This window comes from Homo sapiens, chromosome 2 (assembly GCF_000001405.40).
Source record: "Homo sapiens chromosome 2, GRCh38.p14 Primary Assembly".
Classification (NCBI taxonomy): domain Eukaryota; kingdom Metazoa; phylum Chordata; class Mammalia; order Primates; family Hominidae; genus Homo; species Homo sapiens.
In genome coordinates, this window is record NC_000002.12 from 128,715,353 (window position 1) to 128,733,821 (window position 18,469).

The 18,469-nt window shown below is 43.9% G+C and overlaps 1 annotated feature.

Moving 5' to 3' along the window:
• Positions 18,048–18,157: an enhancer, noted in NCBI's record as "active region_16515". NCBI's record gives its function as "activates an Ori minimal core promoter by ATAC-STARR-seq in GM12878 lymphoblastoid cells {active_cell/tissue: GM12878}" and the evidence as "EXISTENCE:reporter gene assay evidence [ECO:0000049][PMID:35858748]".

Sequence of the window (18,469 nt, forward strand, 5' to 3'; positions counted from 1 at the left end):
TACCTGGCACAAAGGAAGTGGTGCATTGTGCTCTGAGGAGCAGCGGGAATAGGAGGATAGGCAGTGGCAGACATTGTGGTCCTTGTCATGGCTGTGGTTGTTCTCTGTCAGCATGTGAGGCTTCCCCTGGGCTGTCAGGGCAGGACCGAAGAGGAGCCTGGGTTCCTGAGAGAGAAGGGGTTGCCCCGGCACAACAGGGTACGCAGTCCAGAGCACTCACCGTCAGCTGGGATCTAATCCCCACTCCATCCTGTGAGTTAATGGAGATGACCCGGAGGGAAAGCCTTTTCCCCAGAGAAATGCCGTGGCAGGTGGAGGAGAGGAGGAGCTGGAGCAGGAGGAGGAGGATAAACAGGGAGAGAGGAGAATGGGAAGAGAAATTGGGGAAGACAGGGAGAGGAAGGAGGTGTGAATATTCTCCTTTCTCTGATGCCTTGCCACGTCCCATCCAAGGTATGTCTGTCTTATGTTAGCAGGCAGATGAATAATGATGAGTTTCGGGGACAAAGATCTAATTTTCATCCTCAGAGAGAGGTGACACATTGGGGACAATGACCCAATTGGAAATGCTACATTGTGATTAATATGGAAATGTGTTTTCTATTATTAGCATATGGCAGGCTGAGGAGTGTGCAACGAGAGGCTGACAGATAGCCCTGCTGGCTGTGTGCTCTGGGGCTTCCAATGAGCTTTTCTGCCCTGTGAGGTTTGATGCCCAGCTCTCCAGGGCAGACATTCTGGTTTGCCACCAAGCCTCTTTTCTAGCCAGGAATGATGGCAGGTCTGAGGCTAAGGAGGAATGACCAGGCACTGGGACAAGAGGGAGGAGGTAGATGTTCATTGAATCCTACAGTGGGCTGTGTGTAGCATTACCTCACTCAACCCTCACAGGAGCCAGGAAGGCAGAAGACATGGTTACCATTTGCAGAAGATATATCTGAAGCTCAGAAAGGTTAGCTCAGTGCTTCTCAAACTTGCTGTGCATCCAAAGCACCCGGAGATCACACTACGGTGCAGATTCTGCATCAGAGTGTCTGTGCAGGGCTGAGACTCTGCATCTACCCAGTGTCCTGGCAATGCAGGGGTTGCTGGTTTGCCAACACACTTACGCTAGGGGGGACTTGGAAGATCCACCTGGGCCACACTGCTGCTTGCAGGGCAGAGCTGGGAAGGACCAGCTGTTGGCATAGGGAGGTGGGCAGGCCTGGCTGTGGAGGCCATGCTGTGCTGCTGAGATATTGGACTTTAATCCGTTGGCAACTTGGCCCCTGGGGGACGGTTAAGCCGCCAGCTGACTGCAAAACCCACAAGGAAACCATGACTCCAGGTGCACAGCAAGGAGATACCCGCGAGGCTGCCTGCTGTGAACAGATCAAAGCTAAAGTTTTGGATGAGGGGTGGGAGGATGGAGATGAGAAGTGCTCTAATTCTCAAACGTCCTTTTAAAATTAGTTTTGAATGAAATTCATTGTGGCCCTAAAATGTACCCAAATTAAAGATATACTCAGTAATTTCGGCAAGTGTACACATCACACAGCCAGGAACACAATCGAGACAGAGCATTTCCAGCATCCTAGCAGTGCCCTTGCCCTCCCGCCCCTTCTAGTCATCAGACTAATGAACGACCTGCCTGCTTCATTCAGCTGTTTCTCCTTTTTGATTGCTGTGTAGTGTTTCATTGTTTGGCTATACCACAGCTTGTTGATCATTTTCCTATGGATAGCTATTTGGATCTCTTCTAATTTTTGCCTATTTTAAATAAGCTTCCTATGAAGATTCACATAAAACTACTTTCATGGACATATATTTTCATTCCTCTTGATTAAAATCGCTAGAAATGCAATTGCTGTGTGGTGTGGTAAGCAAATGCTCCATTTTCCTTTTTGAATTTCTTCAATTCTAATTTTTCTGTAATTCACTCATTCACTCACTCGTTTAGTAAATACACAGGGCAGCTACTATTTGTCAGGCACTGCTGTCTAGGAAAAAGGGGTCGACTTATTAACAAAACAGAAAAAACAAAGCCAACCCTCCAGCCTGCATGAGCCTTACTTAAGGGAAACAGAAAACAGACAAACACAGGCTGGGCACGGTTGCTCATGCCTGTAATCCTAGCACTTTGGGAAGCCAAGGCGGGTGGATTGCCCGAGCTCAGGAGTTTGAGACCAGCCTGGGGAACATGGTGAAACCCCCGTCTCTGCTAAAATACAAAAAAATTTAGCCGGGCTTGGTGGTGTGTGCCTGTAGTCCCAGCTTCTCGGGAGGCTGAGGCAGGAGAATTGCTTGAACCTGGGAGGCGGAGGTTGCAATAAGCCAAGATCGCACAACTGCACTCCAGGCTGGGCCACAGAGTGAGACTCCATCTCTAAAAACAAACAAACAAACAAAAAAAAACAGACAAACACATTCACAGGAAAGATATCTGAGAGTTTTAAGTTGTGTGTAAGAATGGAAAGGGCACACTGTGCTTAAGTGTGACTGGCTGTGTGGTCAAGGAGGTCCTTCAGAGGAGGCGACATCTAAGCTGAGATCTGAGTGAGGAAAAAGAGACAGCCACACACAGGTCTGGGGGTGGGGGAAGCTTTCATGCCAAGGAAGGACCAGAGCAGGGCTCTGAGACAGAGCTGAGGGACAGAGGAGGTCCCTGTGGCTGGGCTGGCAGAAAGGAGATTGCTGCTGGAGGAGGGTGAAGGACTGGATATGGAGGCTGTCTGCACACTCTTCATCATTCTGGTTGTTAATGATCTCTTTCTGTGTTTATTTGGTTGTTAATGATCTCTTTCTGTGTTTATCTGCATGCCCCCCCTCACTCACTGGAATACAAGCCCGTGGGAATAGAAATTTTCTCTCATTGCCTCATCATAGCCATCCCTGTGCTTGGAACAGACTCAGGCACATGACAGACTCTTATTAAATATTTGTTAAATAACGAATACTTGAACGAGTGAATGAATTCAATAACCTCTGGTTCAGTGCCCTGTCCCTGGCACTATGATGGTTATTATTGTTACAAAGTGAAATAAGACACAGTTCTTCCTCCCAATGAGCTTCCAGGCATTGAGGAAGAGAGACAAGTAATCATGCCATGGCAAGTTCCATGACAGAAGAAAGCCAAGGCAGGAGGTGGATTACAGAGGAGCCCCCCGCCGGGCACTCTGCCAGGAAGGTTCTTCAGGAGTGACCCTGGATGGTGGTGGAGGACTTAGTGAGGTAGAGAAGGCTGGGGAGAGCAATTTCAGAAGCAGCAGCAGTCAGTGCAATTGCGTGGATGGCTAAGAGAGCACCGCAGGTTTGGCAAATTACAAGATGTGGGGAGCTCTGCAGAGACAGCTCATGACAGGGACTAAGGAGAAACTTTGAAATTTATCCTGATAACCAGTGGAGGATTTTGAGTGAAGCTAAAAGACTTGATCAAATTAGCGCTTTAGGAAAACAAAACCTTTGTTGGCTTTCCATTAAATATGGCAGCATCAACACCCCAACAAAACTCTCCTTCCTTTTCTATCTCCTCTACACGAACAGTGACAGAGTTTTAAAAATAACAAACTAGGCTGTGCACTGTGGCTCACGCCTATAATCCTAGCACTTTGGGAGGCCGAGGTGGGAAGATCACCTCAGGTCAGTAGTTCGAGACCAGCCTGGCCAACATGGCGAAACTCCGTCTCTACTAAAAATACAAAAAGAATTAGCTAGACTTGGTGGCAGGTGCCTGTCATCCTAGCCACTCGGGAGACTGAGAGAGGAGAATCACTTGAACCCAGGAGGCAGAGATTGCAGTGATCCTGCCTGGGTGACAGAGCAAGTCTTCATCTCAAAAAAAAAAAAAAAAAAAAGCACAGACCAACATTCCTCAGAAAGTTTACAATGGAAAAGATGTGGTTAATCAAAGAGAGCAGCCAGAATTCTCACACAAGCTTGTACTCCTACAATAAATTGACACAATTTAGAAAACAATGTGGTGGAATCTGCTGGAGCTTAATATACACATATCCTGTGACCGGACAGTTGCACTCTTGAGCAGGTACCCCACAGAGATGCACACACATGTTCACCAAAGAGCAGGCACAGGAACAGTTATACCAACGCGATTCACAATAGTCTCCAAATTGGAAACTCCCAGTGTTCACCAAAAATAGATAAATAAGTTTTGGTATACTCATACAGTGAGAAGATTACACAGCAGTGAGCATGATCTACCACTGCACACAACATTAAGAGTGAATGCCGGCCGGGCATGGTGGCTCCCGCCTGTAATGCCAGCACTTTGGGAGGCCGAGGCAGGCGGATCACGAGGTCAGGAGATCAAGACCATCCTGGCGAACATGGTGAAACTCCATCTCTACTAAAAATACAAAAAAATTAGCCAGTCATGGTGGCGTGCGCCTGTAGTCCCAGCTACTCGGGAGGCTGAGGAAGGAGAATGGCGTGAACCCAGGAGGTGGAGCTTGCAGTGAGCCGAGATCGCGCCACTGCACTCTAGCCTGGGTGACAGAGCAAGACTCTGTCTCAAAAAAAAAAAAAAAAAAAAAAAGAGTGAATGCCACATGCAAAATGTTGAGTGAAAGAAGCAGGTACAAGAAAGGCCAAACTGTGTAATTCTGTTTATATAGAACTCAAAGAAAGGAGAAAAACTGCATCTGTGCTGTTAGAGGTCAGGATAGCGGGCACCATTGTGGGGAGGAGATAGGAATGGCCGGGGTCCCTGGTCCTTCTGGGGTCCTGGTAATGCTCTGTTTTGTGATCTGGGTCCTGTTTACACGATTATGTTCTGTTTTCAACATTGAGATCTACCCTTGTAATGTATGTAATTTTCTGTCTACATATCATACTTCCATAAGAAACATTCTAAAAAGGCATAAACCCACAGGGACAAAAATAACAAAATTTGGGGGACTGGAAAGCAGATGGTGAGTGGCAAGTGATGCTGCTCAGCTGAGAAAGCTGAATTTTTCATTGCAGAAGTAAAAGCCAAAAAGTAACTTGGTTTACATAGTAGGATCTCCAAGAGGCCAAGGAAAAGTACAAGGCACCTCTGGAAATTTACAAAACCAGAAGAAGCTTCTAAAAATGTATAATACTAGGAAATTTATAAAACCAAGAGAAGCTTCTGAAAAGGGGGAAAAAAACAGCCTCACAGATTTCATGCAAAGAATCAATATATAGAAAGCATCAGACATAGAAGCCAGAAGACAATAGAACAATAATTTCAAGAGCCAGAGAAAATCACTTTCCAACCTAGAATTCTGTACCCAGCTAAACCATCAGTAAAGTTCACACTCGAATAAATACATCAAAATATTATATCCATGTGCCTTCTCTCAGGAAGCTCCTGGAGGTTGTGTAAAGAACTACACCAAAAAAGATCACAGTAATCCAGGAAGCAGGGATCCCCAGAATAATGGTTAAGGGAGAACCTGACACTACAACTTTGCAACAGGCATAGAGAACAACCAGTCCAGGTTGGAGCAAGTCCCAGCAGACACTGGAAACCTACTAGACCTACCCAGATTCTCAAACAGATAACATAAGCACACAGAGAAAAGACTTCCTCCAACTGACTTTAAAATACAGTGTGTTGACTCTACGTTCTAAAAATAAAAAGAACACAGACATTTTAAGGAGCAATTCAGTATCAATTGTTCGTAGTGTATTATTATTTGAAAGCTATTGTATTAGACTGCTTAGGCTGCCATAACAGACTACCACAGACTGGGTTAAAATGATAGGAATTTTTTTCTCATAGTTCTGGAGGCTGGAAGTCCAAGATCAAGGTGCTGGTAGAGTTAGTTTCTCTGGAAGCCTCTCTCCTTGGCTTGCAGATGGCTGCCTTTTCATCGTGTTCTCACCTGGCCTTGCATCTGTGCATGTCCACTCCTGGAGTCTCTCTCTTTTCTCCTAAGATCACCAGTCTTATTAAGGAAGGGCCACACGATGACCTTATTTAACCTTAATTACTTCCTTAAAGGCCCTGTCTCCAAATGCTGTCACACTGAAGGTTAGGGTTTTGGCATATGGATTTGGGGTGGGGTGGGGAAGACACAATTAAATTCATAACACTATTATAAGTATACTGTATAAAACAGCAAATAGATAAATATGCCAATGTAATTAAGATTCAAGATTTTAGTATAAGAGAAATATAAAATCAAAGTAATTGAATAAAATTCTGTAGTATTAAATTAAAATTGGAAATACCAATTTGGACTCATGATTTCTTTTTCTAAAAATGTTTTCTTATCTGTCCACTGAAAAGGTCTAGAAACAATGACAAATCAGTAGCAATGAACATACTTAGTGCTCAGATTGTGGCCTCTGTACACTATATTCCACTGAAAGAAACCAGAGTTATAGGAGAAATGTCTGATTCCATGTCTGGAGGAGGAAATTTACAAGATGAGCCCACGACTTCTTATTGTGTTAGAAAGCAGGGTAGTGATTCCAGGCTAGTGGGGTCATGTCAAAGGGACACAGGAGGCAGCTGGAAGGGCTTTCCCTAACCAAATCTAGAGCAATGAGAATACTGAATATATAATATCTGCAATATATTAAATCACATCCAATAGATACAATCTATGAGTTCATAATCATACACAGGAAAAAACTCACTTGTGTCTTTGAGAGTTTATTAGGGCATCAACTCATTACTCTGAGAGCAGACAATGAGAAAGAAATGGGCATTTATACCACCTTTCTTGTATGAACTGTATTTTAGGATAACAAAAACAATTAAAGAGGAGCAGTTCTTTATAGAAAGACCTCATGGAAAAGGAATTATGGCTGTTTTAAAGTTGCTATTTTATCACATCTAATAGAAGAACCTAGGCAATGATCATCAGTTGGCAAAAAGATGATGGAGATTATAAGGAGGGATCAGGCTGGCCACCTGAGCTCACCAGGAAACCTTAGCACCACTGAAGGTGGGCACCCTAGCACTGCGCGCTTCATGAATGACACATCAAGACAGTGTTCCTGATGTTCCTGGTGAGTTTTTAAAAACATAGGCCTTGAAGCCCCACTCTCAGGTATTTGGATTCAATTGGCCTGGCATGGGGTCTGAATCCTGGTGAACAGGAGCTCTGCAGGTGACTCCAACATATAGCCAGGATTGAGACCATCTCAACAGAAAATATGCAGCACAACCTATGAAGTCTTTATGCTTAATAAATGGAATTGAATCAAACCAAACCTCTACAGCAGTGGCTCTCAGATGTTAGTATGCATCAGAATTCCTGGAGGGCTTGTTAAAACAGATTGCTGGGCCCCACCCCTGAGGTTTCTGATGCAGCTGATCTTCACTGGGGCTGCAGGTGCTGCTGGTCCTGGACCACATGCTGAGAAGGGCTGCTCAGAGAGGAATGGTTTTCGATGTAAGTGCCCCTTGGAATCCCCTGGGGCACTTTACAAGACTGATGTTTGGGCCTCATCTGGGGTTTTGATTTAATTGGCCTGGAGTGTGGCCTAGGCACTGGGATTTTAAGAAGCTCTCCAAGTGATTCTGATGTGCATCCTGGGCTGAGACTCACTGCTCTGAATCCAACTACCAGTGCACAAGGCATAGGAAGAAGAAAGAAACAAGCTAGATGAGAGCTGAAGGAAGCAATCAGCCACATGTAGAGCACAAGATACTTTTCAAGCTGACCGACTTGGGTTCTCCAGTGAATCAAGGCTTTTGAGAAAAATACTTAAGGGATTGTTACAGAATAAGAGACTTAAAAGACAAGGAAAGTCAATGCTTGGGCTTCATTTGGCTCCTAATTCAAACAACCACTAACAAAAGACATATGGGAATGCTCATAACATTCAAATTTATAGTAGTTATCAGGTGATATTGAGAAATTATAAATTTTACTAGGTTTGATATTAGCATGGTGGTTACGCTTCTTACATGTACCTAAAAGTTAGAGATACATATTGAAGCATTTACAGATGAAACAATATGATGTCTGGGAAGCTCTTTAAAATATTCCATCAAAAATCTAAGTTTGCTGGGTTTGTTATAATATTCTCTCTACTTTTATGTACATTTAAAATTTTTCACAATAAAAAGTTAAAACAAAAATAAAATAACAATGAAACTACTGAATAGACAGAAAGCTTTAGTAGAGATGCTTCATGATGATACACTTGAATACATTGAGAGGTTTATAAAACAGGACAAGAATGCAAAGAAAACTACATAAATGAAATGACAAAGTAATTATTAACTTCAGGGACAGCAAAGTATTTTACAGGAAATGAAAGGTAATCATAGTATACTACATGGCTTAGTAGCACAGAACATTTAGCTAGTCATAATGATATTAATATCAAATACTGATCTAATGAAAACTATAAGGAAACCAAATTGGACCAAGTCAAGAGTGGAAAATCCTCATGTATTGGGTGGGGATTGGGAGCAACAAACATCATCTTCCAGTCTGAGCAGTCAATTAATAATGGCCATATTGAAAAATCAATAATTAGCTAAGTGAGCATGGTAATTAGCTATATAGAGTTAAGTACCAAAGGAATTGTAAAATAAAGTAGAACCTGATGATAATGTAAGAGTCAGTCATGTAAAATGGGAAGGTCACATTATTGAGAGGTTAGTGAAAAATCCCGTGTGATCCTGTGTGTCAGCTAGCTGGGAATTTGGAGGTCTGAAAGCCAATGATTAGCCATGTTATAGCCAAAGCCACATGATTATAGGGCCTACCTGTTGGAGTTTTGCCTCAGTTTCTCACCAGAGGAGGAAAATGGGGCAGTGGAAAGGGCTGTTGTACTTGTACTCTTGGACAAACTTATGCTCTGTTCAAGTATTCTTCTTATACTTGCACTCATCCTTATGCATACATAATTTTGATAAAGAAAAATTAAATTAAAAAATCCCCAAAAAGACTCCTTGGCGGATGGATGGATTAGTGATGAGAGGATAGAGACAGAAAAATTGAGTAAGAAACCACTGTGGTCATCCAGACGAGAGGGTGAAGGCCCACACAGAAGGGGAGATTGAGAGACTGGATTTCTACACTGCAGTAGACTTCCAGGACACACAGTGTTGATGGCAGTCCCACCTGTCCTACTCTCAAACTCTTATTTTCTCAACAATGCTGGAAAGGTGTGGTGCATACGCACACACATACATGCAGTCTAGTCAGCCTTCTGGCATACTTGCATACTTGCTTCATTGGAAGTCAATCTTGAAGCCACCTTCCTGGAGGGTATTAAAATCAAGTCTGGATGACGTGCAGACACAGGTGCTATAAAGGGGTCTCCTGTATTTGCTGTAGATCCTGTGTTTCTCTATAATACCATGTGGAATTCCTGAGTATTTGGAGGCGCTAGATGGCTGGCTGACTTTTCAGTTTTCCATCCATCATCTGCATGTTCGGCACCAGTCTTGAGTACCGTTGGCAGTGATTTTCCAAGGCCAGGGCTTCTTTGTTGCCATGGCAAGAATGCATGCAGGCTGTCCCTGGGCAGGCCCGGCATGGAGCAGAGGCTGGGCTGTGCTTCGGAGACCTGTCAGGGTAATTCCCGTGGTGGAAATGGCCTAAGCTATGGGAGCAGTGTGAATTTGCTGCCATAGGATTGATTGCTGGTGAGGTTTCAGTTTGAATATACATGTTTTGTGAGGAAAACTCCCACTCAGGATTCTCTGAGCATGTTAATGAGACTGGTTTTCTAGTCAGTTTCCAACTGACCTTTGGAAGAAGTCCTATCCAGGGATCAAACCCAGCCTGCCTTCAAATGGAGACCGCTGACCAGGGAGCTTCTCCTTGTGGCAGCCACGCCTAATGGCCTCAGGGATTTGTAAGTGCAGGCCTTTCCTAACCAGGTCCCGGGTGAACAGCATTGCCTCGGGTATCCACACCACAAACACCACACCCACCGTCTGGCTTCTCAGTTGTGTTTTTACCTTTATTTCCCATCACCTCCCATGCCTGTATGCATTCAGCTCTCAGAGGCTCAGGCCCCGCATGACAGCCAGAGTTTCCCCCTCCTATGCAGGTAGGATATTGAAGTCATCTGCCGAATAGAAAAAGTCAGGTCAGCACATGTTTAAGGAAGGCCTCCTACACACAGGCTCTTCTCCAAGCTCTGGAAATATAGCGAGCCCCTGGAAATGGCAAGGTCCCTGCCCCAAGCAGCTCATTTGATAGTTGGGGACAGAAACCAGTAAGCAAATGATTTATGAGGCGGTGACAAGGGCTATGAAGAAAAAGCAGGCTATGGGGATAGACAGGACTTGTGATTTTAGCTGTCTCCAAGGTGATTTTTGAGCTGAGATATAGATGAAATGAGGAAGATTTACTGTAGCCGTACTGGACAGAATACTCCAGTGGAGAGTGTGGCATGTGCAAATGTCCTGAGACTGGGACAATGATATGTCTGAGGAACAGAAAGCAGGCCCTAGGACTGGAAGAGTTCTGTGAGACGAGATGGGGAGGTGGGCAGAGAGGGCTGGGAGGGCCTGTCCAAGCTCGCGTAGACCATGAGAGGAAGCATTTTTGGGTAGAGAACAGGTTGCAGGGCAAAAGTGGAAGCAGGGAGGCTGGTGAGAATGTGATCACATTTGCAAAGTTGAAAAGAAAAGCTGGAAAGAATATTGGATAGATTACATCTATTTTGATATAGATATATTTTGAAGGTGGAGGTGACAGGATTAGCTGTTGAGTTGAATGTGGAATAAGAAAACGTGGCTACAAGATTGACTCTAGAATCTTTGCCTTCAGTTACTAGTTGAATGTTGACATCATTTATTAAATTGGGGAAAGCAGAGAGGCCAGGTGCTGGAGGCAGGGGGATTGAGGTGTTTGTTAGAAATCCAAATAAAGAGGTCAAGTCTGCAGGTGGATTAGTGAGGCCGGTGTTAAAGAGTGGGAATCTGAGCAGATAAATAGGCTGTGGAGCCAGAAGTTACCCAAGTCTTTGCGATATTACAGGCTGTAAGATTGAATGCAAACACTGTAGAGAGAGAGAGAAGAAAACAGGTCTGAGGTTTGAGCCCTGGGTACTGAGGTTTGAGCCCTGGGCACTCTCAGCTCAAGGTCTGGGTGGTGAAGAGGAGCCAAGAGAGACTCAGAAGGAGCCTGGGTGGGAGGAGGCTATTCTGAGACTGATTCATGTGGGCTGAAAGGGAACTGATATAATCCAAGATAAATGCCACAGCACGGCACAAGTCTGGAATAAGATGCTAAGGAAGGCAAAAGATCAGAAGGAGCTCATAAATGAAAAAACAACTGTTAAAAATATTTTTTGAAGGATTTTGTAAGTTTTGTTGACAGAGTCCAACTGTTGATGGCATATGGTGTAATGTTAAAAGGTGACAGAGAGAAAGTACAATGTCTCACTTTCTGTTTTACTGCCATGATTTTTCTAAAAAAACTAAACCTACAAAATGGAAAGGGTGGATGCAACATGGTTAGGAGGCAGGAGACCCAGCCTAAGGGAGAAGGCAAAAGAAAGCATTAGCAGGGCTGAGCACAGGGCAGATCGTGGCCCAGCATATAAACATCAAAAGGATCATGAAGCCCATTGCTAACCTATGATAAAGCTTGGAGTGATGGAGAGTCCAGAAAATGTCAAGAGGATTCATATTGCACAAATCTTTAAGAAGGTAAAATATATTTTAGAAATTAGAGATCCGAGAGTTGGGTGGTTTCTAGTGAAATTAAATAAATGGCTGTGATAACGTAGTAGGAACCGACAGGAGTTTCTTGAGGTTAAGGGGTGCCAGATTCAGCTTGTTTCTTTTTCTGAATGACCAGTCTGTGACCACTGACATGTGTGGAGCTCAGACTTCTGGTCAAGGTATTAAACCAAATAGAGCTGAATACTTATCATTGCCTGTTGCTCCAAGCAACTGGCTGGTCATTGGTGTTATTTGCTATAACAAGAAAGACTGACAGAACCAGGTTGTGGCTGGGGGAGAAACTGAGATGTCTGTTAGACGTTTTAGTGGACATGTCAGCTTACTACCTTGACTAGAAGTCTGAGCTCATTTATCCATGATAGATGCAATGAAGCAATTAAGAAAAAAGCCCAGTTTCAATGTAAGAAAGAGAAATAACTAGAAGCAATCAACAAAGAAGGAATGCAAAGCCATGACAGAGAGCCAGCGTTGAAGCTGCAGAGCCCTCAGGGGCTGGATCCACTCCTTATGGCAGGGATTTTGTTCTGTGTAAAGATGGACATCGAGGGCTCCATGTGAAAGCTTGGGTGGAGAAGGACTGTGTAGGCCAGGGCTGGGGCACAGGAAGGAGCTTGCCCCTGCAGACTGTGGCAGGGGGAGTTTCCCATGTAAAACTGAAACCCCAGCCTCTGTCACAAAAAGATGTGGGGCTCCAAGTCACACTGCCTATGCCATAGTGTCAAAATAAACAAACAAAAAATGATAATTATTGTAGAATTTGGCCTCATGGCACTTGTCCAATTTGAAATAAGAATATATGGAGACAGAACTCCAAGCAAAAGGGATTTATTTGGGAATGAACAAAGAAATAGGATTGAGATCTCAGACATATGCATAGACTGGGATGGTCTCTGGCATGTCTGGAGAACAAAGGAAAATTAAGGTTTTACTGGGGAGAGAAGAGGTGATGCAAGTTGTTTTGAAAGTTCATTGTCAAGTATCAGTAGCTGCTAGGTGGGACTCAGCATCTTGGAGTTACGGTTAGGCCTTTGTATTTTTGGACTGACCTTGTGAGAGTTGCAAAACAGGCCAGCGTGCCTCTAGAAGTGGCTAGCTGTTCTTGTGCTGCTAGCTTTTCTTGTGTGACTCATGTAGTAAGCTGTGGTTTGGAAACAATTTTTGAGGTGGATCCTATCATCAGATAAATTATGAGTGAGAGTCCTCCCTTCATGGCCTTCCCTGGCTCTATTTTGCTATGGTTTGAAAGAGTGACTCCACTTTGATTCTGACAACTTTCACACATTTTAGGGCTCTGGCAGATGCAATGTTAAGTCCCCTACAAGGACATACCCACAGCTCACGGCACATCCTGGATTGTTACAGAAGGTAAGTCTTGTTGAAGATGAGCTCACAGACAAAATCTCAGAGTAAATGGGGAAACCTAACACTATGAAAGAGAATCAGCAGATGGAAGAAATGGGAATATTTACTCCTGTGGAACTAGCAGCCATAGAGTAAGTGTATTTAAATGATAAATGAGACAAAAAAAAAAAAAAAAGGAGAGAATCTACAGGTACTAGAGAAAGCCACTATGCAAAAGGACCAAATAATTCAAGAAACTAAATAGTCATTGAAATTAAAGGAAAACAATGTCTTTAATAGATAAATAATACAATAGTCCAAATACAACTGACAACTGAAGATAAAATTAGTGAATAGGAAGAAAGAGTTAATCTATCAAAATTCTTTATGGAACAAATAAGAGAAAGATAATTTGAGAGGTGCAGAGGCTAAAATCAGAATCTCAAATACATATCTAATAGAAATTCTTGAAGCAATAATTAGTGAGATTGAGAATGTGACAGTATTTGAAGAAGTTAGACACAAGTCTTGATATTAAAGGAGTACATCAAATATTAAATAGAAAAATTAAAAATAAACTTATCTAGAAGCATCATCATGCAACTTTAGAACATAAAATAAAAAGTCAAAATTTTTAAAGCTATGATAAAAGAAAGACATTAAACACAATGGAAAAGTTTCAGAGTGGCACCTACTCTATCAGACACAAAAGTCTCCAGAAGACAACAGAATAAAATGTTTAAGACGCAAAGGGAAATAATTGTTAACAATAATGCTATATCCAAGTAAACTGTCATCTAGGGAAAGATTTCCATACATACAAAGACTGATAATTTGCCACACATAGATCTTTTCTGAAAGAAGTATTTAAGGATGTGCTTCAGCAAGAAGATCATTGAATGTGGAAAGAAGTATGAGAATGCAAGGAGCAGTATTCAGTGATCAAAGAAGTATGTATGTAAATCCAAATAAGATTGATGGGAAATAATGATTTTTTTTCATGGCTTTAAGTACAACACATAAATACTAAACAAGACTAATTGGGGAATGAAAGGGGGTACATTTAAAAGATAGTGAAAGCATACTGATTCCGTTTTCAGGAGAGAGAAAGCAAATTAGAATTACTGTAGCATTTGTAAGAAAAATATAAATTAGGCATGTATGTTAAAATTTTAAGTTAAAATTAATGATGGAAAAATTTGTCAGTAAAGGTATTTGTGCTTTAAACCAGGATACAACTAAAAGAAAGCTGATATAGCAATAAGCAATATTTATAACAGAAAAAATAAAATGCAAGCTTAGAAACACTATTATGGTGCAATATATAAAGAGGTACAATGATAAAAGGACCAATCCTCCAAGGAGCCAAAACAATCATGAACTTTACATAACTAATGAAATATATAACTATATAAGGTCCTACTTTACAGACGTGCAAGGAAAAATATCAAATATTGATTAAAAATATAAGATGCAACACATATTTTTGAGTAAATAATAGTTATTGATAATTTGTATCAGGCACTGTGGTCACAGCCCCGTTTTACATATGAGAAAATAGAGCCTTGAAAATGTCAAATAGTGTGCCGAGTCATATGGCTAGTTGGGCCTGCAGTGAGACTTGAAGCCATGGAGTATAATTCCGAGGTCATGCTTTTAACCGCTACACAGTGCCTCCTTGAATGTTAACACTGGGGCCAGAAGACATGCTAAGTTGTATTCCTCTATTGTGTTTGGGAAGGCAGGGATATTAATTGTTTAACAAATATTTCTTGAGGGTTTTCTTTATGCCAAATGATGTGCTAGGCACTGGGGATTCAGCATTGGAGGAAACAACAAAACAGAATACCTGCTCCATGGTGCTGAGATTCTAGCATGTGTGTAGGAGAGGGAGAGGAACAACAGTAAATATGAAGAAACATAACATGCCAAGTGATGTTCACTGCAATAAAGAAGCAAGCACAGTAAGGGTCAAGAAGTAGCAGAGAGTGGGGTGGGATTTTATAGAGGGGTCTCTCTATGTTCAGAGATGAGAGGCAAGAAGGGAGTGAATCATGGGAATGTACATTTCCAGGCAGAGTGAGAAGCCCTTGTCAAGCCCCAACAGGGAGCTGGCTGGCTGTGCCAAGGACAGTAAGGAGGCAGATGTGGCTGAATTTCCAGAAGCCAGAGCAGATATGCAAGAAGGGGTCAAGAGGTAGCAGTGTAATACATTTTTGAATTATCTGTATAAACAATGGACAGGGTTTGATGGGGTGATGTTTGTCCCACTGAAATGGAACGTCCCAGCATTTCAGTGACAGAATGTGGGAGCTCCTGGGCATCTGCTATTGCCTAAATGAAAGCACTGGCTCCACCTCACTCAATGTCTGCTGTAGGCTCCATGGCAACTGGAAGGAAGCCTGCAGAGGCCACTGATGGTAACTGCCTGCCCGTAAGTCTTGAGGACTGTCTTAGTCCATTCAAACTGCTACAATAACAACACCACAGACTGCATGATTTATAAACAACACACATTTATTGCTCACAGTTCCAGAGGCTGGGAACTCCAAGATCAAGGCACTAGCAGATTCCGTGTCTGTTGAGGGCTGACTTCCCAGTTCATAGATGGTGCCTTCTCGCTGTGTCCTCACATGGCAGAAAGAACGAGGGGTCTCTCGGGGATTTCTTTTGTAAGGGAACAAATCTCATTCACAAGGGCCCCACATTCATGACTTAATCCCTACAAAAGCCCCACCTCTAAATAGCCTCATATGGGGATTAGCACTTCAACATATGAAGTTGAGGGTGACATAAACTCTCAGTCTATAGCAAGGTCCAATCCTCCAGTGCACCCTTTTCCTCCCACACAAGAAAGGACAAATGCAGAGACAAGCTGCAGGTGAAGACACTCAGACACAAGGGGTCTCCTGCAACTTATTCTCCTTCCAGAGAAAGAGGTACCCTCAGGAGCCCATGAGATGGCAGGGGCCCCTGGTGGATATCTGTTAGGTTGTGGTCAGGATTCTCACCACAGAGGACCTGTGGCTGTCTATCAGAGGAGATGCTGCAGTGTGGATGTGCTGAGGGTCGGCAAACAAATCAGAGGATCAGGTCCCTGGAGGACCTGGAAGATACTGGGGATCCCCCAACACCGTGTGCTTGGCAAGATATTAGGATGCATTTAGTGAAGAAGGTGAGGCTGACAGGTGGTCCCCTTTTCAGCAGAGCCCTCTGTGGGCCTCACACAGGCCTCGTAGCTTAGTTGTCAAGGGCAGATCCAAACACATTCCCAACTAGACACCATTCTAAATGGGATGGCACTCTTTTTTTTTTTTTTTGAGACAGAGTCTTGCTCTGTCACCCAGGCTGGAGTGCAGTGGTGCGATCTCCGCTCACTGCAAGCTCCGCCTCCCAGGTTCATGCCATTCCCTGCCTCAGCCTCCCGAGTAGCTGGGACTATAGGCACCAGCCACCAGGCCTGGCTAATTTTTTGTATTTTTAGTAATGATGGGGTTTCACCATGTTAGCCAGGATGGTCTCGATCTCCTGACCTCGTGATCTGCCTGCCTAGGCCTCCCAAAGTGCTGGGATGGCATTCTTAATGGATACGCCCCACATTGTGGGCTGTGGTTTTAGATCTTCTTCTTGTCTTTTCCTTATTGGTCTTGACAGATTCTGATGTGATTACGGTCTTTGAAGGGAGGAGGCTTGGTTTGGGAGTGTGGATGTAGGGATGGATGTGTGTTTGGCCACTGGAGACACAGAAAGACAGAGGTAACAACTCTGATGTGGATCCTGTGTGGGAGAGGGCCCTAGAAGTCCCCTAGAAGGGCACAGAGGGGCTGGCGCCAGCTCTCAATTCACTGTCGCAGGGCCACGCAGCCCCCCAGCACCCTCCACACCCCACAGATGGAGGAGGCTATGCGGGTGCCTGGTACCTCCCTCTTCTGACACAAGCACCTGAAGAAGAAAGGGCTAGGCTTGGAAAGGAGGTGAGAGGGATGGTGAATAGTCCTCAAGACTGGGCCTTTGGGATCAGCCACCCAAAAACCATTTGAGACAGATGGAATCTGCCATGTTTCTAGGGCTTCCAGTTTCAACACAGAAAAGGCCCAGGGCGATGCTAAGACTCCATCAGCCTACCCGAGGCTTCCACTACACACTTGACGTCGGCATCCACCAGACCCAGCTGCACCTGAATCACACACACCTTCTCTCTCTCCCAATCTGTCCCTGTGGTGAGCACAAATGAGCCTCCATGGAAGACAGGCGGACCTTGTTCCATTCAGAGATCAGACCTCGGGGCTCCTAAGCAAACCCTATCCACATCTTCTCCACTCCCAGACATTTTCATTTCTGGATATTGTCATTTTCTGATGAATGTCCCAGGAATAGTGGCTGGTGACCCTTCACCTTCTTTTTCTTCTTCACAGACATATGAACAAACTCTTAAGTTTTGGTGAACTTAAGGTAGCATTTCCCAAGGTGAGTTCCCTAGAACACTAGTTCTTTAGGCTTGTTCTTGATGTTGTGCTAACAAAAAGGTTTGTAGTCAAGGTAATTTGGCATAGATTTGGTTGGAAAATGTTGAGCAGGCTCACCTTCTGCCCCTTCCCCTCCTTGTGAGTTTCCAGCACAGCTACCCTTGCCAGAGTAACCACTGCTAACTGCCTTCCCGTGAGCAGGTTTCTTACAGCAGGATGTTTCAGGGCCTTTAACAGGCACTGTAAGTCTGCAAGAGGGAGATCATAACTGGTATCCTCAAGCTCATTATGCCACAGACCCTTATTTTCCTCCAGGGCTCTCTGTGGGATATGCTGCACTAGGGGTGGCTCTGCCTGTGAACAGCTTCTGTTGGGCCCCTTTCACACACTGTTGGCCAATGGGGGCTTGCTGAAAACACATCCTCCGCCCACCACCCTATTAGGAAATATCTCATTTAAGTGTCTCAGTGTCTGGAACTGGGCCATTAGATGTCCATTTCTCTGTGTAAGCCTTTTCTTATTGCAAAATGCAAAATCCCCTGGGAGTAACACATGCAATAATGACTAATCATTCACAGTTTTGTGCTGAGTAAAGAACACGGCTGTTACTGACAGATGGACTTGGGTCAGAATCCCGATTTCACCCTTCCTTTGCTGTATTACCTTGCTTGACAGGAGGGCTGCTGGTCACATACAGTGAGATACATTTGCCCCTACCTCCCAGAGTTCTTGTGAGAATTAAAATGATGAACAAACGAATGCAAAGACAGAGCCAGCAGGGGAGTGTCTCCCAAAGGGGTGCTTTGCTAAGGATTTTAGAGAACCTGGTGTGCTGCCTTGATGCTGGTGCCCAGGGGCTCGCTGCCCACTGCAGTGGTGTGGTTCCTGTACCGGATCTGCCCTGATGGTAGAACCTGGCCCTGCCATCCTCAGTGGATGTCTGTTGCAGATGCCACAGACCCAGAAGCATGCCTGGATGATACGGTGGGCTGGTGTGTGACAAAAAGCATTTGCTAGGCACAATTAA